Source organism: Homo sapiens, chromosome 9, assembly GCF_000001405.40.
Source record: "Homo sapiens chromosome 9, GRCh38.p14 Primary Assembly".
NCBI lineage: Eukaryota > Metazoa > Chordata > Mammalia > Primates > Hominidae > Homo > Homo sapiens.
This window is the reverse complement of record NC_000009.12, coordinates 130,726,288-130,751,756: the sequence shown is the minus strand read 5'-3', so window position 1 is coordinate 130,751,756 and position 25,469 is coordinate 130,726,288. Positions and strand designations below refer to the sequence as shown.

Here is a 25,469-nt window from a genome sequence, read left to right as displayed (position 1 = left end):
ACGAGCAGTCCTGTGTCCAGGCACTGGCTTCATGGGTGTTGAGGAGCAGAGTGCAGGATATCAATTTTGCTGGCTGACCATACCTGGCTCTGGAGCCAGGAGCAGTAAGGCTTTGATTGTGGCAGATTCTACAGCTGACACCTTCCCAATTCCTGAAGAGGCTGCAGCTTCCTCAGTGGCCCAGGTCTATGAGGCCGTTCCATCTGGGAATCACTCATGAAGCCCAACCAAGAACCTGCTTTTTCAGCCCTCCCCATAACTGTTAGCTATATAATATCTATAATAAACCCCTTCCCATTAAAAATAGTAGGTTTGGCCAGGCGCGGTGGTTCATGCCTGTAATCCCAGCACTTTGGGAGGCCAAGGCAGGTGGATCACCTGAGGTCAGGAGTTCAAGACTAGCCTGGCCAGCATGGTGAGATGCTGTCTCTACTAAAAATACAAAAATTTAGCTGGGTGTCGTGGCACGTGCCTGTAGTCCCAGCTACTCGGGAGGTTGAGGCAGAAGAATCACTTGAACCGGGGAGGCAGAGGTTGCAGTGAGCCGAGATCGCGCCACTGTACTCCAGCCTGGGCAACAGAGTGAGACTCCATCTCAAAAAAAAAAAAAAAAAAAAAAAAAAAAAAGCTGAATAAAAAAAACAAGTTTCAAAAGGACATGTACAAAATGATAACATTTATGTATTCTTAAACATTATGACACTGTCTTGCATGTTTTTAGCAAAGGTTAAAATTTCTTCACTATCCTATCAACACTCCTCTACAACTACCTCAATCCTACCAAAAAAGCTGAATAGAAAAAGAGCCATGTAGGCCGGGCGTGGTGGCTCACACCTGGAATCCCAGCACTTTGGGAGGCTGAGGGGCAGATCACCTGAGGTCAGGAGTTCGAGACCAGCCTGACTAACATGGTGAAACCCTGTGTCTAATAAAAATATAAAAATTAGCCAGGCATGGTGGCGAGCACCTGTAATCCCAGCTACTCGGGAGGCTGAGGCAGAAGAATCACTTGAACCCAGGAGGCAGAGGTTGCAGTGAGCCGAGATTGTGCCATTGCACTCCAGCCTGGGCAACAGAGTGAGACTCTGTCTCAAAAAAAAAAAAAAAAAAAAGAAAGAAAAAGAAAAAAGAAAAAGAACCATGTTAGGTCAGGTGCTCATGTCTGTAATCCCAGCTATTCAGGAGGCCAAGGCCTGAGAATCATTTGAACCCAGGATGGGGAGGTTGCAGTAAGCCAAGATCACGCCACTGCACTCTAGCCTGGGCAACACAGTGAGACTCTGTCAAAAAAGAAAGGGAGTGAGGAAAGGAGGGAGGGAGGGAGGGAGGGAGGGAGGGAGGGAGGGAGGGAGGGAGGAAGGGAAGGAGGGAAGGAGGGAAGGAAGGATGATGGGGATTTTTTTTCCTCCTCTTTAATTTATCCCTACTGTTCAACTGACAAAACTTAGAAGAAATAAACTGAAAAATCCATAATGAAAAAGCCTTTACCAGCCCACCTCTAAGTATATACTTATACTTGGATATATATATATATATATATATATATATATATATATATATATATGTATTTTTTTTTTCTTGAGTCAGGGTCTCTGTTGTCCAGGCTGGAGTGCCGTGGCACAATCATGGCTCAATGCAGCCTCAACCTCCTGGGCTGAAGTGATCTTTCCTCTTTAACCTCCCAAGTAGCTGGGAACACAGGCGTGCACCACCACACCTGGATAATTTATTTTTTTTTCAATTTTTGTAGAGATGGAGTCTTGCCATGTTGCCCAGGCTGGTCTCAAACTCCTGGGCTCAAGTGATCCTCCCGCCTCAGCCTCCCAAAGTGCTGGGATTATAGGTGTGAGCCACTGTGCCCGGCCTTGGCAATATTTTTTAAGAAAGTGACAAAATCTTCCATAAGCATTAGCAATGGAATGGAGATCTTGTATCTCAAATTATGAAGACGAATCAACAATTTCATAAAATAATAACCCCATACATTCCTAAAGCACTTTATAGTATCCAAAGTTCTTTCACAGACATCAGCTCATCCTGATCTCCTACCCACCTGGGAGAGAGCAAAGAAAGAGTCTATCACCAGCCTCATTCAACAGATGGAGAAACAGACTCAGTTTTACCTCATCAGCTAAGTGACTTCTACAAGATCACGTGGCTTTAAGTGTCAGGATATGAGCTAGAAGCAAATATTTGTAAACAGTAAATGTTTGATCAAGTCAACATACTCTAAAGCCCGTACGACTGACAACAACTTAGTGGACCAGGCTTTAGCCCTATCATCTTTGGAGGGGATAGGCTCTGGGAGGTTAGCAAGGAAATGCCATGTAATTCTGTTTTCTGAGCCATTAACGTTTTTAGGTTAAATAACGGGCTTTACAATTTCCAGAGATTGAAATACTGTTTATTTATACTAAACCCCCAGTGTCAAGATATGTCATTTATAGTATCCGTTCATTATTCTACTCTGCATTGCCTTTCTGAACAGAGGTTTTTAATTCTCAAATACTGGTCACCAGCATTAATTTCCCCTCATAACTACAAGAACTCAATCAACAGAAGCTACTGTGTTGAACTTGACAAAGAACCAAAAAAGAACTGAGCACAATGTATTACTATAAACCACTGCTTCAAGAGAAAATAAATAGCTGGTGCTCAAGATCTAGTATAAAATATCATTAAATGTCCCTAAAAGTGATCAACAGCAATACTAAACCAGTATGAACTACAGCCTAATAGCAGCAAAAAGATATGCCTATTTCATACTTCGGGTCATGGCTGAGGGCTGGGAGGGATAACAAATTTTTCATTTAAAAAGATTATTTGGTAGTAAATAAGCATAATTTAGAGTCTTTATTATTCATTAAAAGCTTATATAGAGGCCAAGCGCAGTGGCTCACGCCTGCAATCCCAAGACTTTGGGAAGCCAAGGCAGGTGGATCACATGAGGTCAGGAGTTCGAGACCAGCCTGGCCAACATGGCGAAACCCCGTCTCCACTAAAAATACAAAAATTAGCCGGGCAGCAGTGGCGCATGCCTGTAATCCCAGCTACTTGGGAGGCTGAGGTAGAAGAACTGCTTGAACCCGGGAGGCGAAGGTTGCAGTGAGCCAAGATCACGCCACTGCACTCCAGTGTGGGCGACAGAGCAAGACTCCGTCTCAAAAAAAAAAAAAAGTAGCTAGGCATGGTGGCTCACGCCTGTAGTCCCAGCTATTGAGGAGGATGAGGTGGGAGGATCACTTGAGCCCAGGAGGTGGAGACTGCAGTAAGCCAAGATGGAACCACTGCACTCCAGCTTGGGTGACAGAGGGAGACTCTGTCTCAGAAAAAGGAAAAAAAAAAGTGATACAACATTCAACTCTTATATTAGAGTCAGGTGTGTCATCAACTAAACAAATTTTATAAAGAAATTTAACAGACAAGATGAATCAAAGAGATGTGTAATGGATTATTGTACCATACTGTATAACGACAAAGGCGTGATCTGCTTAAGACAGCAATGTTCTTCTTTCCTTTAGTTATGATTCAGTTCACACTTTTCTTCCTCATACTTATGCAGGTTATAGGAGGAAAATTAAAAGATATGAGGTTTTCACACAAAAAGATGCTCAATCCACCTCATTAGCTGTCAGGGAAAAGCAAAACCATGATGAGATACTCACTAGAATGGCTAAAATTAAAAATACCGACAATAGCCAGTTCAGCCGAGGATACCAGGAATTCTGGCGTTCAAGGGTGCTGGTAGGAACGTGAAATGACTGCCACTCTGTAAAACAGTTTGGCAATTTCTCATGAAATTAAACACATACTAACCATATGACCTAGTGACCCATTCCTAGGTCTTTAGCCAAGTGTAGTAGGCTAAAAAATGGGCCTCCAAAAGATATGCCAGTCCTAATTACTGGAACCTATGAATGTACCCTATATGGGAGAAAAGGGTCTTTGGAGATGTGATTAACAATCTTGAGATGGGGGCATTATCCTCCGTCATCCTAGTGGGCATAAATGTAATCACAAGTGTCCCTATAAGAGGAAGACTGGGGCTGGGTACAGTGGCTCATGCCTGTAATCCCAGCACTTTGGGAGGCTGAGGTGGGCGGATTACCTGAGGTCAGGAGTTCGAGACCAGCCTGGCTAACATGGTGAAACCATGTCTCTACAAAAATACAAAAATTAGCAGGGTGTTGTGGCGCATGCTTGTAATCTCAGCTACTTGGGAGACTGAGGCAGGAGAATCACTTGAACCCAGGAGGCAGAGGTTGCAGTGAGCTGAGGTTGTGCCACTGCACTCCAGCCTGGGCGACAGAGCAACACTCTGTCCCCACGCAAACAAAAAAAGAGGAAGACTGAGGGAGACTTGATTTTGTTTTGGTTTTTTGAGACAGGGTCTTACTCTTGCTCAGGATGGAGCACAGTGGTGCAATCTTGGCTCACTGCAACCGCCACCTCCCAGGCTTAAGTGATCCTCCCACCTCAACCTCCCATGTAGCTGGGACTACAGGTGCATGCCACCATGCCCAACTAATTTTAAAAATATTTTTTGTAGAGACAAGGTTTCACCATGTTGCCCAGGCTGGTCTCAAACTCCTGAGCTCAAGCAATCTGCCCTCCTCGGCTTCCCAAAGTGCTGGGATTACAGGCATGAGCCATGCTCCCTCAGGGGTGCCCAGCCTGAGGGAGACTTGATTACAAAACAGGAAATAAAACAATGGAACAAGGGGTCAGAGTGATACAAGGGGTCACAAACCAAGCAATGCAGGTGGCCTCCAGAAGCCAGAGAGGCCAGGAAGTATTTCTCTCCTGGAGTCTCTGGAGGAAGCAAGGCCCTGCTGTCCCCCTGATTTTGGCCCAGTGATACTAATTTCAGATTTCTGGCCTCCAGAACAGTGGAAGAATAATTTTCTGTTGTTTTAAGCCACCCAGTTTTGTGGTACCTTATTACAGCAGACAGAGGAAGAGTATATGCTAAGTGAATTAAAAAATTATGTTCATATAAAAACAGTACAGAAATGCTTAAAACTCTATTCGTAATCACCAATGCCCCACCAAGCAACAACCCAAACACATCCTCAACAGATGAATGAATAAGCAAACTGTGCCATATTCATACAATGGAATACTACTCAGCAATGAAAAGGAACAAACTGTTGTCACATGCAACATTTAGATGGATCTCAAAGGCATTACGCTCAGTGAAAGAAGCCAATCTCAAAAGGTTACATACTAGATGCTTCCATTTCTGTGACAGTCTCAAAAGGACAAAACAATAGTGATGAGAACAGATCAGTGGTTGCCAGGAGGCAGGAGAGCAGAATAGCACGAAGAAAGTTATTGGGATTATGGAAATATTTTATGTCCTGTGGTGGCGATGGTAGTTATACAAATCTATAAATGTCTTAAAATTCATAAAACCATACATTGAAAAAGTCAATTTTACTGTTCACTAATTTAAAAATAAAATTTAAAAAAATAAAGTTAAATTAGGAAAACCTACCCCCCAAAAGGCATTAAATTCATTAAAAAAAAAAAAACGCATTAAATTCTTGAAACTTTAAATTTAGGAACAAGAAAGAAGAATCTGCCCTGACCAGAAGACCTTGGAAAGGCTTGGAAATAAGCAGCAGTGGGACGTTTTGCTGGTGTCTGCGGTCATACTGTTAGTAAGTGAGCAGCTGAGATTTGAATTCAGATAAACCCATGATTTTAATGTCACCCTTGTCTCTCTATTTGGCCAGGAGATGGACAGTGAAGCATGAAACTGGCAAGGGATAACAGCTCCTACATGTTCCAGAGTCTGTACTTCCATTCACGTTCTGAGTCCGTTAAGTACAAAGCCCACAGCTGGGAAGGGCTGGTTTGACACACAATGGCAAGCCTTACTTTTCCAGGTCCACTTTATTTATTTGATCTTCAATTTGGTAGGGGTACATTCTACTCTTCTGAAAGTAGAATTTTAGTCACAGTCAAGTAAGCAGGACTTTAATAATCAGACAATTGTGGAGTTCATGAGATTAAAAAAATGTCAGATTTCAACACTGATAAACATTTTCCCACATGCATTTCAAAGAACTAGAGCTGAGGTCTGTTATTAAAAGAACTCAGGCTAAAATATTTAAGAAATAACTTTAGAGTGAGAAACCTAAATGTGAAGGTCATTTTCCCCTCACTCCAGGAGGTTCCATTTCCTGTTATAGACCAGAATATGCAAGCAGAGGAGAGGGAGAGAGAGACCAGGAGGTATCATGAGTTTTGCTATTGTTGGTTTGATTTTTTTTTTTCCTTCTACAGAAAACTGAAAATCAAACAGCAGGCGCTCTATTATGCAGGCCAGCATGAACACCTACACAGTTGACAATTAAAAGGTTCCCAGGGCTGGGCACAGTGACTCACGCCTGTAATCCCAGCACTTTGGGAGGCTAAGGCAGGCAGATCACCTGAGGTCGGGAGTTCAAGACTAGCTTGACCAACATGGAGAAATCCTGTCTCTACTAAAAATACAAAATTAGCCAGGTGTGGCGGCGCATGCCTGTAATCCCAGCTACTAGGGAGGCTGAAGCAGGAGAATCGCTTGAACCCAGGAGGTGGAGGTTGCAGTAAGCCGAGATCACACCATTGCCCTCCAGCCTGGGCAACAAGAGCAAAACTCTGCCCCCCTCAAAAAAAAAAAAAAAAAGGTTCCCAGGAAGGGATAACACCCTTCTCACCACTCTACCTTTATTCCTTGCCCACTTTGTCTCAGATAAAAGCAAACAGTTGAAAAACATTCTACCCCAAAACCTCGAATGAAACTTTGGCACTTACATCATTAGGCCACCAATCCTATTGTAATTTCTCTCCTGAAAAGGAACAGCAAAGAAACCAGAGAGAAAAGATAGTTTTGTTTTTTTTTTTTTTTTTGAGACGGAGTCTCACTCTGTCGCCCAGGCTGGAGTGCAGTGGTGCGATCTTGGCTCACTGCAAGCTCCGCCTCCTGGGTTCACGCCATTCTCCTGCCTCAGCCTCCCCAGTAGCTGGAACTACAGGCGCCCACCACTACGCTCGGCTAATTTTTTTTTTTGTATTTTTAGTAGAGATGGCATTTCATCACATTAGCCAGGATGGTCTCGATCTCCTGACCTCGTGATCCGCCTGCCTCGGCCCCCCAAAATGCTGGGATTACAGGCGTGAGCCACTGCGCCTGGCCAGAAAAGACAGTTTTATCCTTCTATGTGTAGAACAAATTCTGGCTTATAAAAGCAAACTATTACTCAAAGTCTTGGTCTCCCCCAGGGTAAAAAGCATTCATCATGTGACAAGCTACAAAAACAAGAAGGGGCCAGGCGTGGTGGCTCACCCCTGTAATCCCAGCACTTTGGGAGGCCGAGGCGGGTGGATCACGAGGTCAAGAGATCGAGACCATCCTGGCCAACACGGTGAAACCCCATCTCTACTAAAAATACAAAAATTAGCTGGGCATGGTGGCATGCGCCTGTAGTCCCAGTTACTCGGGAGGCTGAGGCAGGAGAATCTCTTGAACCCGGGAGGCAGAGGTTGCAGTGAGCCGAGATTGTGGCCACTGCACCCCAGCCTAGCGAAAGAGAGCGAGTCCGTCTCAGGGAAAAAAAGAAAAAAACAAGAAGGGTTGTGATAGGAGCTTTGATGTAAAAGCTGGGTAGCAAATTAGGGAACAGGAAAAAAAAAAAAGTTAATAAATGTTACCAGTACTAAAATTTGTTTTAAAGATAAAATGTTTGAATATTTGTATGCAGCAAGCATGTTGTTTCCAAAAATATCCTTAAGGGAGCATAGAAACACACCCGCTTCCAATCCCTCAATGTGGCCACTCCAGACATCTGCCTAACACCATGCCTCTTGATGGCCACCTCCCCTACCTCTTTACAGGACAGCTACATAGGGCCTATGTGGCTCACCCCTCTTGTTCCCCGACCCCACAAGTACTAGATGAATATGCTACAGTGACCATGTCTCAATCACAGCGTGACCCCCACAAAGCTTGTGCCTGCTCCCTTTAAACCCATCAATTAGAACTATTGGCTTCGGTAACATAATAGCCCTAGGAAACCCACTTGGGAAACTCCCTGGACTCCCAATAAAGGTTTTGGCCCAGGATTCTCTCTCTCTCCTCTCTGGGATCAGTAAGTAATAAAAATACTTCTGCTATTTCATGTGTCTTGCTGTGCTGCTCTGTGTCTCACCTGACCAATGCATTCAAACCTATTTTCCTGGGCAGGGCTAGAATCTATAGCCACTCTCAAGAGAGAGACCTTAGGACCAAATTAGAATTGACATTTGCAAAAGAGCCAGGAATACCAGGAGGTGGGGAATCACTGGGGGTCATCTTAGAGGCTACCTCCCCCAAGCACTATTAAAAGAATAAACTAGGCTGGGCGTGGTGGCTCACACCTGTAATCCCAGCACTTTGGGAGGCCAAGACGGGTGGATCACCTGAGGTCACGAGTTCAAGTCCAGCCTGGCTAACACGGCAAAACCCCATCTCTACTAACAATACAAAAATTAGCCGGGCATGGTGGCGCAAGCCTGTAATCCTGGCTACTTGGGAGGCTGAGGCAGGAGAATCACTTGAACCCAGGAGATGGAAGTTGCAGTGAGCCGATATCACGCCACTGCACTCTAGCCTGGGCAACAAGAGCGAAACTCTGTCTCCAAAAAACAAGAATCAACTTTAGTGTAAGATGTTAAAATAGCTGTATGACAAATGTTAAATCAAGATTTTAAAAAAACGGTGAAGCAAATTCAGTCCCATTGCTCATTAATAATAATTTTTTAGAAACAAAAAAATTTTGTACCAGTAACGCATTTTTTAAAGTTTTAAATATTTACAATGCAATTTATTTCATCTTCATTTTCATTTTATGAATGCTTTATAATATACGGTATTATACAGTATATATTATATAATATAAAGTATCTTAATAGCACATACTAATGTGCGTACATCTGATATACATATAAACATACATACGATACACACATATTTGTTTGCTCACAAAATTCTAATAAGGGTACATGACCTTTTTTAAAATGAAGACTGTTACTCTATATAATGGGAACCACCAGAGAGTTTTGAGCTACTGAACCCCAAACTTAGATTTGCACTTTAGAATAAAGGCTCTTTATTACCAAATTTACCAAATTACCAAGTTTACCAAATTACCAAAGTTACCAAAGCATTATTTGGTAGTGCCTAGCACAGAGAAAGCCCTCAATGGCAGCAACAGGTAGGGAATATGTGACGAAACCTGGAGTCTAGCTAAGATGGGTTATTTAAGCACGGCCCATCATCTGTAAATCTAGTAATGGCCTCCAGTTTTCCCAATGCACTTCAGGAGAGGTGGAAGTGCTTTTGTTGAAATGGGTCTCAACTTCTAGCCAATGGAGAAAAAGCTTTAAATGTAGTCATCATCAGTACATCTCAGAAGTATGTGGGTAAGGGCATTGACCTGGATTAATCACCGAAAAGCTACGTGTGCATCTCACGTGACTCACTGCTGAGCATAATCCCCAAAATGGCATCCACCACAGTTAGGGCACACAAGTGGCAAAAAGTACCAGTACTCCTCACAGACAGCCATCCTTTGAGTTCAGCCAAAACCAGGGGCAACCAGAGAACATACATGACTCGGTGGGCTGACGACTGAGCCTCGCACCACAACAAAGGACTAGGTCTGTGGAGCAAAAGGTCACAAGGCTAGGTTCCCTTCTCTTCCCAACTGCTCTGTAAAGGGCACCCAGGCCCTGTCTGAGAAGGTCTGGGCCAGGGACACCACAGCCACCATGGCACTGATCTGTTAAGGGGCAGGAAGCTGTGGCACTCACCAATCCCAACCAGCTCACTTTACCCCTTTTTCCAGGCCCTCATCCAATTTCCTTTTCAGTACGTTGTTCTTATCTTGCTCCTGTTTTTCTCTACACTAGGTTGGAAATGCTTGAGGACAGGTATGGTCTCACCCCTTCTGTACAACCCAAAGGTCTTGGTCAAAATCAGTCACTCTGGCATGGTAACTGGTATACCAGTGCGGTAACTGTTACTCCGGCATGGTAACTGGTATACCAGTGTGGTAACTGTTACTCCAGCATGGTAACTGGTATTATCAGTGCAGTAACTGTTACTCCGGCATGGTAACTGGTATACCAGTGCTGTAACTGTTACTCTGGCATGGTAACTGGTGCATCAGTGCGGTAACTGTTACTCTGGGATGGTAACTAGTATATCAGTGTGGTAACTGTTACTCTGGCATGGTAGCTGGTATACCAGTGCTATAATTGTTACTCTGGCATGGTAACTGGTGCATCAGTGCGGTAACTGTTACTCCGGCATGGTAACTGGTATATCAGTGTGGTAACTGTTACTCCGGCATGGTAGCTGGTATACCAGTGCTGTAACTGTTACTCTGGCATGGTAACTGGTGCATCAGTGCCGTAACTGTTACTCCGGCATGGTAACTGGTATTCCTGCTCCTCTCCCTCGACCATGGGTCTGCTGTGGCATTTGTGGGTGCCAGGCAGCACCATGACTAGCACTCACACATAACAATGCAGCCAGTCCCTTAGTCTAGGAACTCTGTACCTCAACACGGAGAAGTGGCAAACCTCCAGGACCCTTCTAGCCCTTTGACTAAAGGATATCCCAGGAGCAGGGATGTGGCTCCTTAGTCTATGTACCTGTGGCCATTCATTGCTATATAATAATCATTTGTGATCCTACTGTCTGAACATGGAGTCACTCGTGTTAGATGGCATTAAGCCCACCATGCAGCTGTTTACTCCTCACAGTGATAAGTGAAGGCCAGCTGCAGTGACTCACACCTGTAATTCCAATACTTTGTGAGGCCGAGGTAGGAGGATCCCTTGAGGCCACCAGGAGTTCAACAGAGTGAGACCCTTCTCTACAAAAAAAAAAAAAAAAAAAAAAATCTGGGTGTGGTGGTGCACACCTGTAGTCCTATCTACTCAAGAGACCGAGGTGGGAGGATCCCTTCAGCCTAGGAATTACAGGCTGAAGTGAGCGATGATCGTGCCACTGCAATTCAACCTGGGTGACAGAGCAAGACCTTGACTCAAAAGAAAAGCAAACAAAGAATGATAAGCACATGTGTACTAGCCTGGCAACTGAGATCATAGTAAAATTGTTTTTCTTCGAAGTGATAAACATACGTCTAATAGAATAAGGTGGTGAGATAATAACACCTGCTGTGGCATAGTACCACCACCGATGGAAAAATGGAGCCAAGAGCTGGCTGAGACCATGATACTGGGCAGACCTTTGGAGAATCATACACACAGCAAGGAGCTGATGATGTCTGGGGCGCCTTTGGAATCTTTGCCCATGAGAACTCTGAGGCCTCCTCCTAGCATGACAATTGCCGCCCAGCGGCTCTCCAGGAGAGGAACAGCCACTCCTCACTTACTAGCATCCAAGGGACTTCCAACCCACTTGAGGGTCCATCAGTGCTCTGACCTTCTGAGCCATCCCTGTGGTTCATTGTCCCCCTAATTACAGCCTTTAATAACCACATTGTGAATGTTTGATTGATTGTGTGTGTGTGAATCTCTCAATAAATGGCGAATCTGAGCATTGCTAATTGGCCACTGAATCACTGTGAAACATTCCCACTTCAGTGGAAGTTGGCATGCAGGGCAGTGACCTGATTAAAATAACATTTAATATTAACATAATATTAATTACATAATTCATTATTAATTTACTGGAAACTCCTCAGCAAGCCAATTTAAACAAAAAACTTTGATTCAATTAAAGGATCATAACTTAGCAACTCTTCTGATTCACTTTAACATTGTGACTACACATTTTTTATTGTTATTTTTTATTTTCTGTAGAGATGCGGTCTCCCTATGTTGGGGTCTCCCTATGTTGGAGGCTGGTCTCAAACTCCTGAGCTCAAGTAATCTTCTCACCTCAGCCTCCCAAAGTGCTGAAATTGCAGCGTGAGCCACTGCATCCAGTCATGATTATACATTATTACAAAGCAATGATGTGGACTTACCAGTACCCACAGAAGTCATACCATGGTTGGATCAACTTATAAAATCCATACAGTAATTATGAGTTCCTGATGTGGAAGCAATAGAACCCAAATGCACCCTGAAAAATGGTCTTAGGGCACCTACTTTTAATTAGGATAACTTTCATTTGAATAGGGGTTAAAGTATCATTGATCATGCTGATTGAATTTCAAATAGCTTTCTGAATCAATTTTCCTTGATTGAATAATTTACAAAAATGTATGTTGTTTTTATAATAAATAATAAAGCTTAAAAATTTTTTTTACATTTATATTTCCTGAAGGTTTTTCTCCATTGTAACCATATCTCAATTAAACTTTTTTAAAAAGCCTTCAAAAAAAAAAAATCAGGAAGGACTATGCATTTAGATTGACAATGATTGTGAATAAGACAGTGCTGAGGATGCTACGAACTAAACATCACATCATGTCTCACTCAAGGTAACACAGAGCTACAAAGGCAGCTTACCACTAACAAACAACATAAGCACTGCTTGCCTAAAAAGACACATATCGGGCCAGGCACAGTGTTTCACGCCTGTAATCCCAGCACTTTGGGAAGCTGAGGCAGGTGGATCACTTGAGGTCAGGAGTGCAAGACCAGCCTGGCCAACATAGTGAAACCACGTCTCTACTAAAAAAAATACAAAAATTAGCCGGGCATGGTGGCACGCGCCTGTAGCGGGTGGCTCCCCGCTACTCTGGAGGCTGAGACAGGAGAATTGTTTGAACGAGGGAGGTGGGGGTTGCCGTGAATCGAGATCGCACCACTGCACTCCAGCCTGGGCGACAGAGCAAGACCCTGTCTCAAAAGAAAAAGACACATAACACACAGAAGGATACATCTGAGGGAAAAAATGTTTTCTCCTTATATCCTCTAAACAATAAATTTGTTTTGAATGGGGAGGGAATAACTACAGTAAGTTCTCACTTAATGTCATTGATAGGTTCTTGGAAACTGGGGCTTTGAGCAAAATGACATATAACAAAACCAATTTTCCATGATTTGTCCATCAATCAGCAAGGTAATTGATATAAACAAGAGTTAAGTTCCACGAGGACACTGGAGAATGTGTAAATTCCAAATAGACAGTAGCTCCAGCAGGGAATTGATTTTTTTTTCTCATCAACATGATAATGAAACAATAGTGAATGAAAGGCCATTATCTGGGGACCTGCTGTATTACCATCACTCATGTCATGTTTTAATATTTTTGTGTGTTCTTCTTCATGCACACAAACTATCTCATTCCAGCAACTACCTGTAATGAGCTTTTCAAGAAATATAAACTCCGGATTGCTAGTAAGTTCTTAGTTTTCATTTCTTCCTTATTGTTCTGAATATTAAATATTAAAAGTTATTCGACTACTGCCTGGAACTTAGTAAGCATGCAACCCAAGTTACCTGTTACTACTATTGGTCTAAATAAGGAAAGACAATTAAAATACAAACACTAGCATGACATTTCTTTCCCCCTTGTGCAATGTTCTGATTGTATCTTTGCATTGAGACTACAATTTCCTTGGTCTCGGGTCTTATCTTTTGGTTTTTCTCCTAATAGACCACCATTCCTCAAGAAAGGACACTGCAGTGGCTCATGCCTGTAATCCCAGCACTTTGGGAGGTGGAGGTGGGCGGATCACGAGGTCAGGAGTTTGAGACCAGCCTAACCAATATGGTGAAACCCTATCTCTATTAAAAACGCAAAAAATTAGCTGGGTGTGGCGGTGCACATCTGTAATCCCAGCTAGTTGGTAGGCTGAGGCAGGAGAATATCTTGAACCTGGGAGGTGGAGGTTGCAGTGAGCCGAGATTGTGCCACTGCACTCCGGCCTAGACAACAGAGTGAGACTCTGTCTCAAAAAAAAAAAAAAAAAGACACTGTTCTGAGACAGAGGCTGTTTTAACACACAGGCAAAGGGGGCAAACAGTAGGCACAAGCAGATGCCAAGGAAGACACTGGAACTGAGCAGATGCCTCAACATGACTTTTTCACTAGTCTCAGCCCTGTTAGCACCAAGAACCAGCTCGGTGCTCAGCAGGCTTTAAACTCTGCTTGTGGCTTCCCTGAAACGTAGTCTGGACCAAACATAAAAGCTCCTTAAACCTGAGGTACTGGGTTCTTTAAACATGTCCAGGTGGCTGGGTGTGGTGGCTCACACCTGTAATCCTAGCACTTTGGGAGGCCAAGGCGGGTGGATCATCTGAGGTCAGGAGTTCGAGACCAGCCTGGCCAACATGGTGAAACCCCCATCTCTACAAAAGATACAAAAATTAGCTGGGTGTGGTAGTGCACACGTGTAGTCCCAGCTATTTGGGAGGCTGAGGCAGGAGAATCACTTAAACTCGGGAGGTGGAGGTTACAGTGAGCTGAGATGACGCCACTGCACTCCAGCCTGGGAGACAGAGTGAGACTTCATCTCAAAATAAATACATAAATAAAATAAATTTTTTTTTAAATTTTAAAACTGAAAACATTTTTTGAAAAAGAAGATGCCTGCACACCTCCTTATGGTCAGAGTGTCCTCCCTATTTCAACAGTCGTTTTCCCCTCCTTGCAAAAATCCTTTTCAATAAAGTCTCTCCTTACTAAAAAACTAAAACAAAACAAAAAAACTGATACTTAGGCCTCTCCCCAGACCAATTAAATTAACCCCTGGGGGTAGACCTGGAAACAGTCTTTTCAAGCTCCTGAAAAGCACCTACTCAGCAGGTCCTCTGGAGCTTGGAATAGGGCAGTTCCTTGTGACATGCTTGGGCAGTGAAGGGGCATAGACAGGGTACTGGATTCTATATAGGCAATCAACTAGGCCCTACATAGTTTCCTATTTAAATATCTGCCACACAAAGAACCTGATGAGATGGTTCACAGAAAGATAAGTATGTATCTCCCCTAAACATGTTAAAAACGTTCAACCGGCCGGGCACAGTGGCTCACGCCTGTAATCCCAGCACTTTGGGAGGCCGAGGTGGGCAGATCACCTGAGATCGGAAGTTTGAGACCAGCCTGACCAACATGGAGAAACCCCGTCTCTACTAAAAATACAAAATTAGCCGGGTGTGGTGGCACATGCCTGTAATCCCAGCTACTTGGGAGGCTGAGGCAGAAGAATTGCTTGAACCTAGGAGGCGGAGGTTGCGGTGGGGCCGAGATCACACTACTGCACTCCAGCCTGGACAACAAGAGCGAAACTTCGTCTCAAAAAACAAAACAAAACAAAACAATGTTCAACCTCACTCACAGAAGACCTACCATTTAAAACCATACTAAAATACTATTTCTTAGATATCAGATTGGAAAAAGTCCCAAAGCTTGACAATACACTCTCTTAGCTAGGCTTTGGGGATGAAGGCAACCTCTGTATTACCAGCGATGGGACTGTAAACTAGAATGATGTCTACGGAAGAAAATGTGGAAATATCTACCAATATAGATCTCTATTACTCTATATTAATACAGGCCAGGTGTGGTGGCTCATGCCTATAATCCCAACACTCTGGAAGGCCAAGGAGGCACTTGAGCCCAGGAGTTTAAGACCAGCCTGGGCAACATGGCAAAACCCCATCTCTACAAAAAATACAAAAAACAGCCAGGCATAGTGGTATACATTTATAGTTCCAGCTACTAGAGAGGCTGAGGCAGGAGTATCACTTGAGCCCCGAGGACTGAAGCTGCAGTGAGCCGAGGTCATGCCACTGCACTCCAGCCTGCATAACAGAGCCAGACCCTGTCTTAAAAAAAAAAAATATATATATATATATATATATATATATGCACACACATGCATACACACACATATACACACACATATATATACACACAGACATACGCAAAATGGTAGCTATCTACCAAGTAGAATCCATCTACTAACAGAAATGACAAACGCATGTACCCTTAAACCCAGTGCCCCGACTTTTAGGAATCTCTCCCACAGCTATAACGTTACCCCTGAAGCACTGTTTATCATATCTAAAGACTGGAAACACTCCAAAAGTCCAGAAAGGGAACTGGTTGGAAAACCAATGATACTTCCAAGATAGTGGAATTCAATGCAGCCATAAAAAGAAGGAAGATATACATATTCCAATATGGGGAGATCCTGAGGATCTATTAAGGGAAAAACAAAAAAGAAGGTACAGAACGGTATATACTGTATGCTATCTTTTGTGTAATAAATATATATTTGCTTGTATTTGCAAAAAAGAACACTGGAAGGATAAAAAAAAAAAACCACACACAAAAAATTTTCCAGAGGAGTAGGAGAAGGAAAAGGACAGAGTGGCAGAGGTGCAAGCAAGCTTCTGAAAATACATGTTTGTTCTGTAGCTTTGTAGTTTAAATTAGAAAATGTATTATCTATTCAAAAGTGTTCAATTTAGGCCTAGCACAGTGGCTCATACCTGTATTCCCAGCACTTTGGGAGGCTGAGGCAGGCTGATCACCTGAGGTCAGGAGTTCAAGACCAGCCTGGCCAACATGGTGAAACCCCATCGCTACTAAAAATACAAAAATTAGCCAGATGTGGTGGCAGGTGCCTGTAATCCCAGTTACTCAAAAGGCTGAGGCAGGAGAATCGCTTGAACCCAGGCGGCGGAGGTTGCGGTAAGCCAAGATCATGCCATTGCACTCCAGCCTGGGCAACAGAGCAAGGTTGTATCTCAAAAAAACACAACAAAAAAAGTTCAATTTAATTTTAAAATAAATCGTAAAACTGCCACAAAGCTTGTAGGACAATGTATAAATTTTTTAAATTATAAATAATTTTATAATTATAAAATTTCATAACAGCATAAAATTATAAATCATAAAAGCATACATAAGGTATGTTTGTTACACACCGCCATTCCAAAACACTCAACTACCAAAGGGTAAGAATATTCAATAGAGGCTGGGCGCAGTGGCTCACACTTGTAATTGCACCGCTTTGGGAGGCTGAGGCGGGTAGATCACTTGAGGCCAGGAATTCAAGACCAACCTAGCCAATATGGCTAAACTCTGTCTCTACTAAAAATACAAAAATTAGCCAGGCTTGGTGGCACACGCCTGTGATCCCAGCTACTCGGGAGGCTGAGGCAGGAGAATTGCCTGAACCTGGGAGGCAGAGATTGCAGTGAGCCAAGATCATGCCAGTGCACTCCAGCCTGGGTGACGGAGTGAGACCCTGTCTCAAAAAAAAAAAAAAAAGAAGATTCAGGCCAGGCGCAGTGGCTCACACCTGTAATCCCAGCACTTTGGGAAGCCAAGGCGGGCGGATCACGAGGTCAGGAGATCAAGACCATCCTGGCTAACACGGTGAAACCCTGTCTCTACTAAACATGCAAAAAAAATTAGCCAGGCATGGTGGCGGGTGCCTGTAGTCCCAGCTACTGGGGAGGCTGAGGCAGGAGAATGGCATGAACCCAGGAGACAGAGCTGGCAGTGAGCCGAGATCGCGCCACTGCACTCCAGCCTGGGTGACAGAGCGAGACTCCATCTCAAAAAAAAAAAAAGAATATTCAATAGAGTATTAAAAATCATACCACGAAATTGTGAAAAAATTAAAAATTTGATTAAATTCTAAAGCTAGACCCCACTCATTTCAATGATGCAAATGTTTTCAAAATGCATTAGTCTATCCTCAAAAAGTAATGTTTCCAATTGAAAAACACTCAAGCTGTCAAGAGACACTTGATTTCAACCACAGCTCTAAAACTAATCAGCAATGTAACCCTAAAAACACGACTACCCAAAGCACAAGTTTTCCTACTGAAAGAAAGGAATAATGCGTATCCTGCCTATACCATAGACCTCACAAAAAAGTATATGAAAGTGCTTTACAGGCCAGGCGTAGTGGCTCACACCTGTAACCCCAGCACTTTGGGAGGCCGAGGCGGGCGGATCACAAAGTCAGGAGATCGAGACCATCCTGGCTAACATGGTGAAACCCCATCTCTACTAAAAATACAAAAAGTTAGCCGGGCGTGGTGGCAGGCGCGGTGGCGGGCGCCTGTAGTCCCAGCTACTCGGGAGGCTGAGGCAGGAGAATGGTGTGAACCCAGGTGGCGGAGCTTACAGTGAGCCGAGATTACGCCACTGCACTCCAGCCTGGGCAACGAGTGAGACTCTGTCTCAAAAAAAAAAAAAAAAAAAAAAGTGCTTTACAGCCAGGCGCAGTGGTGCACGCCTGTACTCACAGCTACCTGAGAGGCGGAGGCAGGAGAATCACCTGAGCCCAGGAATTCAAGACCATCCTGAGTAACACTGAGACCCTGCTACAAGAAAAAAAAATTTTTTTTTAACTTTACACATCCACAAGAGATATTCTTTGCAACCTAGGATGCTGCAAAATCACCAATGAAACAATAAATTACTATATGATACTGAAGAAATAGAAAGTACAAACATGCTGAATCTATTCACTACCAAGGCAAATCTGGGAGTTGTTTGTTTTGACTAAACTCTTGATACTGGGTTGGCTGCCTTTGTTTCTTTCTCTTAAAAGTGAACACGCCAAAACTCAATTCTGTTCAAGTGAAGGTTCCAATCAGTTTAGATATTACTGTAAATTCAGTCCCTACTAACTCACAGTTTGTACAGGAAGTAAACCAACCCAAGATCCAACTAAGCCAAAGAGCAAACAAGACAGGCATCCTCAGATTATGGCTCCATCCTCTTATTCTCATACAAATATCTCTATTAAAAACACTCCCCTTCTCTGTTTAGCAATTCTATTTCCTGTTTTCTACCTCTCAAGAATGAAATCTGAAGGAATTCTCTACTTTTTAAGATTTCGCAATTTCATCCCTCCTTGCTAATAACAATTCACCTAGCGACACTTGAGGAACAAGCCACGCTCCTGGCAGAAATTCAGTACTCTTAAAGGAGGACTTAAAGGTCATGCTAGCCTTTGCTCCTCTGAAGAACAGACGGACACAGTGAAAAAAAAAAAAACACTGTGCCTATAATGTTAGCTTCCCATATACATCCTAAAATGCGTGGGATCCACCAGACCCCCGGGATTTTACCACAAGCTGGGGAAAAGGTTTGTAACCTGAAGATGGTAACAGGGACAATATTCCCACTACAGCAGTATCCCAAGTGGATAGAACAAATTATGGCAGCACCAGAAACCTGGAGAAAGGAATAAGGACTTAAGCAGCTGTTAGTCATTTCCAGGAGAAAAACTAAATACACAGAGAAAATGAGTCCACCAGATTTGGTGAGAGGCCACAGGCAGCCACTGATATAAAAAAGATGAAAAGCAAGCTATTATAGATAAAGGATACTGCTGGCTCCACCAGGGGTCTCTCCACTGCTTAACAAAGAAGATCAGGTTGAGTAAATGTCCCCTTTCCTCAGCCGGTTCCCTGGACCCATTCCACACTGTTTATTCAAGCCATAACCATTCTCCCAAGCAGATGGCCAGTGGTGGTCCTCAGGAATATAAATTAGACACAAAGAGCCTTTTGTTGGCTATGTTGTTCCTGGCTCTCTTACCCCAGACTGACACAGTACCTGATACAGAACAGGCACTTAGTACTTGTTCAATGCCTGAACCTGCCAAACAAGTAGATTCAACTGCGTATTCACTAAGTAGCTAGTCTGTTAAAAAAAAATACTGTTCGATCCATGAAAATGTATAAACATGGTCTCCACTATCAAGGGACAAGTACTGAGTGTCAAAGAAAAATACAATTGGAAAAAAAAAAAGAATAGAGAAAGGTGAATTGGAAAGAAGCAGCAGGTATTTTGAAAGTTGAAAATTTGAAACAATTGACAGGAATCATTTAGCCTTTATCATTAACAGAAAAAAAAAAGTTTCCTGAAATAGCTTTCTTTCATCAATAAGAATTCTTTATATTCTATTATTCATTTCTAGGATCAAAGAAACCTATAGATTTAGTGCAATCAGAGAAGAAAATCCTTAAGGGTATTTCTGTTTGGGTATGGAAGCTGATAAAACCCACTCTAAAATGTATATGGAAATACAAAGGAGCAAGCCAAGACAATATTGAAGAACAAAACAGGAGGCCTTATTCTACCAGGCATTAAGATTTATTTTAAAGCTACAGTAATACATTGTAATACTGGTGCAAGGAAAGACAAACAAATTAACAGGAAGGAGTTCCCCAGCAGATCCACACGTACATGTATACCTGATTTACACAGCAGCAGATGTTCTTTTCAATTAAACAGCTAGGTCAATATGAGGGAAAAAATGAACCTTCGCCCCTACACAGAAAAAACAATTCCAGGCCAACTATAAACATGAGATGTAAGAGAGTGAAACTTCTTTGTGACCTTAGGGTAGACACAAAGATTTCTTACACAGACCACAAAAAAAGTACTAACCATAAAAGATTAAATTAGACTAAGTCAAAATTAAGGTTTATCAAAGACACCATTAAGAGAGTGAAAAAGCAGCCGGACGCAGTGGCTCACGTCTGTAACCCCAGCACTTTGGGAGGCCAAGGTGGGTGGATCACCTGAGGTTAGGAGTTCAAAACCAGCCTGGCCAACATGGTGAAACCCCTTCTCTATTAAAAACACAAAAACTAGCTGGGCATGGTGGTGGGCGCCTGTAATCCCAGCTACTCGGGGGACTGAGGCAGGAGAATCTCTTGAACCTGGGAGGCGGAGGTTGCAGTGAGCCGAGATCACACCACTGTAATCCAGCCTGAGTGACAGAGCAAGACTCTGTCTCAAAAAAAAAAAAAAAAAAAAAAAAAAGAGAGATAGAGTGAAAACGCACAATGGCTATAATTATGTAAATAAAGAGTGAAAAGGTGAACCACAAAGTGTAAGAAAATAGTCATAATAAATACACCCAACGAAGGACCTGTATTGAGAGTACACAGGCTAGGCACGGTAGCTCACACCTGTAATCCCAGCACTTTGGAAGGCCGAGGTGGGTGGATGGTTTGACCTCAGGAGTTTGAGACCAGCCTGGGCCACATGGTAAAACCCCAACTCTACAAAAAATGCCAAAATTAACCAGAAGTGGTGGCACACACCTATAGTCCCAGCTACTCAGGAGGATGAAGTTGGAGGACCGCTTGAGCCCAGGAGGTCAAGGTTGGAGTGAGCCGAGACTGTGCCACTGGACTCCAGCCTGGGCAACAGAATAAGACTCTGCCTCAAACAAAGAAAAAAAAAGGAAAAAAAATATAAATAACTCCTAAAAATCAATGAGGAATAAACATAAATAGAAAAATGGACAAAAGAGGTGAACTGGCAAGAGATACATAGGTACACATATATTCCAAATGGCCAGTAAACATATGAAAAGGTGCTTAACCTCATGAGTCATCAAAGAAGAGCAAATTAAGGCTGGGAGATACTACTGCACAACTACCTGCAAGGCTAACATTTAAAAGTCTGGCCGGAGGCTAGGCGCGGTGACTCACGCCTGTAATCCCAGCACTTTGGGAGGCCGAGGTGGGCGGATCACCTGAGGTTGGGCGTTCGAGACCAGCCTGATCAACACAGAGAAACCCCGTCTCTACTAAAAACACAAAATTAGCTGGGTTTGGTGGCACATGTCCATATTCCAGCTACTCGGGAGGCTGAGGCAGGGGAATCACTTGAACCCAGGAGGCGGAGGTAGCGGTCAGCTAAGATTGCACCATTGCACTCCAGCGTGGGCAACAAGAGCAGAATTCCATCTCAAAAAAAAAAAAAAGTCTGGCTGGGCGCAGTGGCTCACGCCTGTAATCCCAGCACTTTGGGGGGCCAAGGCAGGTGGATCACTTGAGGTCAGGAGTTCGGGACCAGCCTGGCCAACATGATGAAACCCTATCTACCAAAAATGCAAAAAAAAAAAAAAATAGCCTGGTGTGGTGGTGCATGCCTGTAGTCCCAGCTACACAGGAGGCTGAAGCAGGAGAATCGCTTGAACCCAGGAGGTGGAGGTTGCAGTGAGCCAAGATCACACCACTGCACTCCAGCCTGGGCGACAGAGTGAGACTCCATCTTAAAAAAAAAAAAAGAATATGCAGAATTGAACTTCTGCTTCTGTCCATAATGCAGTAAAAGTGGTATTAGATATCCTTTTGTCCTAAACAACTGTATGGCTGAATAAAATATTTGAGACGACTGTTTTCAGGCATTAGATGACAGGCAAGGCAAGGCAAGGCTGTGACCCTTGAGGAAAGAGAAAAACATAAGGTAAGTTGCATGTTGCTTCCAACTTCCTGCCTGGGGCACCTTCCCAAACACAGTGCAGGGAGATGAAACCTAAACTGACAGCAGCCATCTCTGTGAACTGAGGAAGCAAAGACTTGGATTTGAGGATGCTGAGGCAGGTAGAATTTGTAGGGCAAGAAATCTGAGAGAAGATGAGGGCATGGGTGGGGTGACAGAACACAGAGGTAGGCAGAAGAAGGTGGGAGGCATCCTGTGGGTCCATGGCTTCCAGATTCTATGCAGTTTAGCAGACAGCGGTGGCTGTGAGGCTGAGAACTGCACAGACACAGAGGTTTCACAGTGCTGGAAGACATTCAAGTACCAGTTCATCCAGGGTGGAGAGACTTTGCTGAGCACCTCTGTTATTTTGTTTCGACCCCAAAAAGGCCAAGCATTAAGTCTAAAGAGTACCCTCTATTCTAAGGGCCGGGTGTCTGGACCAAGGATAAACCCATACTAACAAAGCATAAAACCAAACCTGGCAGGGTCAAACTAACTTAACGACCAGTCACTTACAGTAATTTAAGTAACTACAGTAACCTAACTACTTGTCAAAACAAAATGAAAACTTCTTTAAAGAAAGATAACAAGATTGAGAATCCCTACAATATAACACCCACATGTCTGGCATACAATCAAAATTATTTAACATGCAAAAATGCAGGAAAATCTGACTCATAATGTACAGAAAAAGCAATCAATAAAAACAGACCCCAAGATGACTCAGATATTTAAATTAGCAGGCACGGTCTTTATTACAAATACCTTCTAGGATTTAGAGGAAAAGACAGGTCTAATGAATGAAAACATGGTGAATCTCAGCAGAAAAATACAAACTATAAAAAAAAAAAACAGGCTGGGCGCAGTGGCTCATGCCTGTAATCCCAGCACTTTGGGAGGCTGAGGCGGGTGGATCACAAGGTCAGGAGATTGAGACCATCCTGGCTAACACGGTGAAACTCCGTCTCTTCTAAAAAAACATACAAAAAAATTAGCCGGGCGTGGTGGCAGGCGCCTGTAGTCCCAGCTACTCAGGAGGCTGAGGCAGGAGAATGGCATGAACCCAGGAGGTGGAGCTTGTAGTGAGCCAAGATCACTCCACTGCACTCCAGCCTGGGCGACAGAGCAAAACACTGTCTCAAAAAAAAAGGAAAGAAAAGAAAAAAAAAAAAAACCAGCCAGGTACAGTGGCTCACACCTGTAATCCCAGCACTTTGGGAGGCGTAGGAGGGCAGATTGCTTGAGCTCAGGAGTTCAAGACCAGCCTGGGTAACATGATGAAACCCCGTCTCCACAAAAAAAAAAAAAAAAAATCAGCTGGACATGGTGGCGCATGCCCATAGTCCCAGCTACTCAGGAGGCTGAGGTGGGAGAACAGCTTGAGTCTGGGAGACGGAGGTTGCAGTGAGCTATGATTGCCACTGCACTCCAGCCTGAGTGACAGAGTGAGATCTTGTCTCCAAAAAACAAACAAACAAAAAAAGAGGCAAAAACTGAGAGTATTTATAGTTATATTTTCATTCTAAATATTGTTCCTTTTCTAAATATTCTACCTTTTCTTTTTCTTCATTAGTCTTACCAGAAGTGTGCCTAGATCAATAATATTTTTCAAAGTTAGCTTTTGGTTTTATTGATCATTTCCATTCTTAATTTGTTTTTATTTTTATTATTCTCTTCTGTGTACTGTGGGATTACTTTGGTTCTCTGGCTTCTTGAGTTACATGCTTAGTTCTCTTGTTCTTGTTCAGTCTTTCCTGTTTCCTAATAAATGCTTTTTTTTGGGGGGGGGGGGCGGTGTCTCACTCTGTCACCCAGGCTGGAGTGCAATGGCGCGATCTCGGCTCACTGCAACCTCTGTACCCCGGGTTCAAGGGATTATCCTGCCTCAGCCTCCCGAGTAGCTATAGGCAGCTGCCACCAAGCCCAGCTAATTTTTGTATTTTTAGTAAGAGACAGGGTTTCACCATCTTGGCCAGGCTGGTCTTGAACGCCTGAACTTGTGATCCACCCACCTCAGCCTCCCAAATTGCTGGGATTACAGGCGTGTGCCACCACGCCCGGCGGAATAAATGCTTTTAAGAGTAAAAGAAGTGATAGAATTAAAGGAAAAAATAAACGAATATATCATTATAGCTGTTGATCTTCAGCATCACTCTCTCAGTAAAAAAGAGAGATACCGCCAGGCACAGTGGCTCACACCTGTAATCCCAGCACTTTGGGAGGCCCAGGAGGGCAGATTGCTTGAGCTCAGGAGTTCAAGACCAGCCTGGGTAACATGGTGAAACCTTGTCTCTACAAAAAAAAAAAAACCTCAGCAAAGCTATAGATGAAGTAAGTACAAAATAAAAAGTAAGAATATAGAAGATGTTTAAACAAAAGCATGAAACAACTTGATTTATAGAAAACTACATGCAACAACACAAACTTTTTTCAACTACAAATGGAACATTCACTAAGACAGGTTATATGCTGGGCCATAAAATTAGTCTTGGTAAATGTCAGAAGACTGAAATTCTACAGAAGATGTTCTCTGACCACAATGAAATTAAATTAGAAACCAAGATATCTAGAATTCCCAAATACTTGGAAATCAAACACTTTGATAATAACACATGAAAACTTATGTGATGAACTTATGTGATAGAGCTAACGCAGTGTTTAGTAGGAAATACACAGCTTTAAATGCCTATGTTGGACAAGAAGGGTTTGGAATCGATCTAAATTTCTACTTTAAGAAGCTAGAAATAAAGAACAAATTAAACCCAAAGTAGGCTGGGTGCAGTGGCTCACGCCTATAATCCCAGCACTTCAGGAGGCCAAGGCAGGAGGATCGCTTGAAGCCAGGAGTTTGAGACCATCCTGGGCAACATAGCAAGACCCTATCTCTACAAAAAAAAATTTTTTTAAGTAAAAGAAAGAAAATAAAGAGCAGAAATCAATAAAATGGAAAACAATTGAGAAAGTTAACAAATTTTTTTTGAAAAGATTAATAAAATTGGTAAACCCTCAGCAAAACTAACTGAAAAGGTGTGTGTGAGAGAGAAACAGAGAGAAAAAACACAAATTACCAATGTGAGGAATGGAAAAAGCATATCACCACAGACCCTATAGACATTAAAAGGATAACAAGGGAATATTAAAAACAAAAACAAGGGAAACTAATCGATGGTGCTAAAACGTAAGACAGTAGTTATCTCTGAGGAGGAGGAAGGCAGGAGTGAAACTGGAAGGGGGCACAAGGCTTTCTGAGGTGTGC

At 43.1% G+C, this 25,469-nt stretch overlaps 1 protein-coding gene across 1 annotated transcript in view, besides 6 other annotated features; it reads right to left on the bottom strand.

Moving 5' to 3' along the window:
* Nucleotides 1–25,469, bottom strand: part of ABL1 (ABL proto-oncogene 1, non-receptor tyrosine kinase) — a 174,633-nt gene that overhangs the window by 135,919 nt on the left and 13,245 nt on the right. The window lies entirely within an intron of this gene.
* Nucleotides 1–25,469: part of a biological region, named in NCBI's record as "ABL breakpoint recombination region", that runs on past both edges of the window. NCBI's record gives its function as "recombination_partner: LOC107963947 | LOC107963948 | LOC107963951 | LOC107963955 | LOC107966121 | LOC107966125".
* Nucleotides 1–25,469: part of a mitotic recombination region, noted in NCBI's record as "ABL minor-breakpoint recombination sub-region recombines with the BCR-ABL minor-breakpoint cluster region, producing the e1a2 transcript", that runs on past both edges of the window. NCBI's record gives the evidence for it as "EXISTENCE:nucleotide sequencing assay evidence [ECO:0000219][PMID:20703256]".
* Nucleotides 1–25,469: part of a mitotic recombination region, noted in NCBI's record as "ABL major-breakpoint recombination CML sub-region recombines with the BCR-ABL major-breakpoint cluster CML sub-region within the BCR-ABL major-breakpoint cluster region, producing the e13a2 and e14a2 transcripts", that runs on past both edges of the window. NCBI's record gives the evidence for it as "EXISTENCE:nucleotide sequencing assay evidence [ECO:0000219][PMID:20703256]".
* Nucleotides 1–25,469: part of a mitotic recombination region, noted in NCBI's record as "ABL major-breakpoint cluster ALL sub-region recombines with the BCR-ABL major-breakpoint cluster ALL sub-region within the BCR-ABL major-breakpoint cluster region, producing the e13a2 and e14a2 transcripts", that runs on past both edges of the window. NCBI's record gives the evidence for it as "EXISTENCE:nucleotide sequencing assay evidence [ECO:0000219][PMID:20703256]".
* Nucleotides 20,589–21,425: an enhancer, noted in NCBI's record as "H3K27ac-H3K4me1 hESC enhancer chr9:133605719-133606555 (GRCh37/hg19 assembly coordinates)". NCBI's record gives its function as "activates a minimal SCP1, AML or CMV promoter by ChIP-STARR-seq in primed H9 embryonic stem cells {active_cell/tissue: H9 hESC(primed)}" and the evidence as "EXISTENCE:reporter gene assay evidence [ECO:0000049][PMID:30033119]".
* Nucleotides 21,426–22,262: an enhancer, noted in NCBI's record as "H3K27ac-H3K4me1 hESC enhancer chr9:133604882-133605718 (GRCh37/hg19 assembly coordinates)". NCBI's record gives its function as "activates a minimal SCP1, AML or CMV promoter by ChIP-STARR-seq in primed H9 embryonic stem cells {active_cell/tissue: H9 hESC(primed)}" and the evidence as "EXISTENCE:reporter gene assay evidence [ECO:0000049][PMID:30033119]".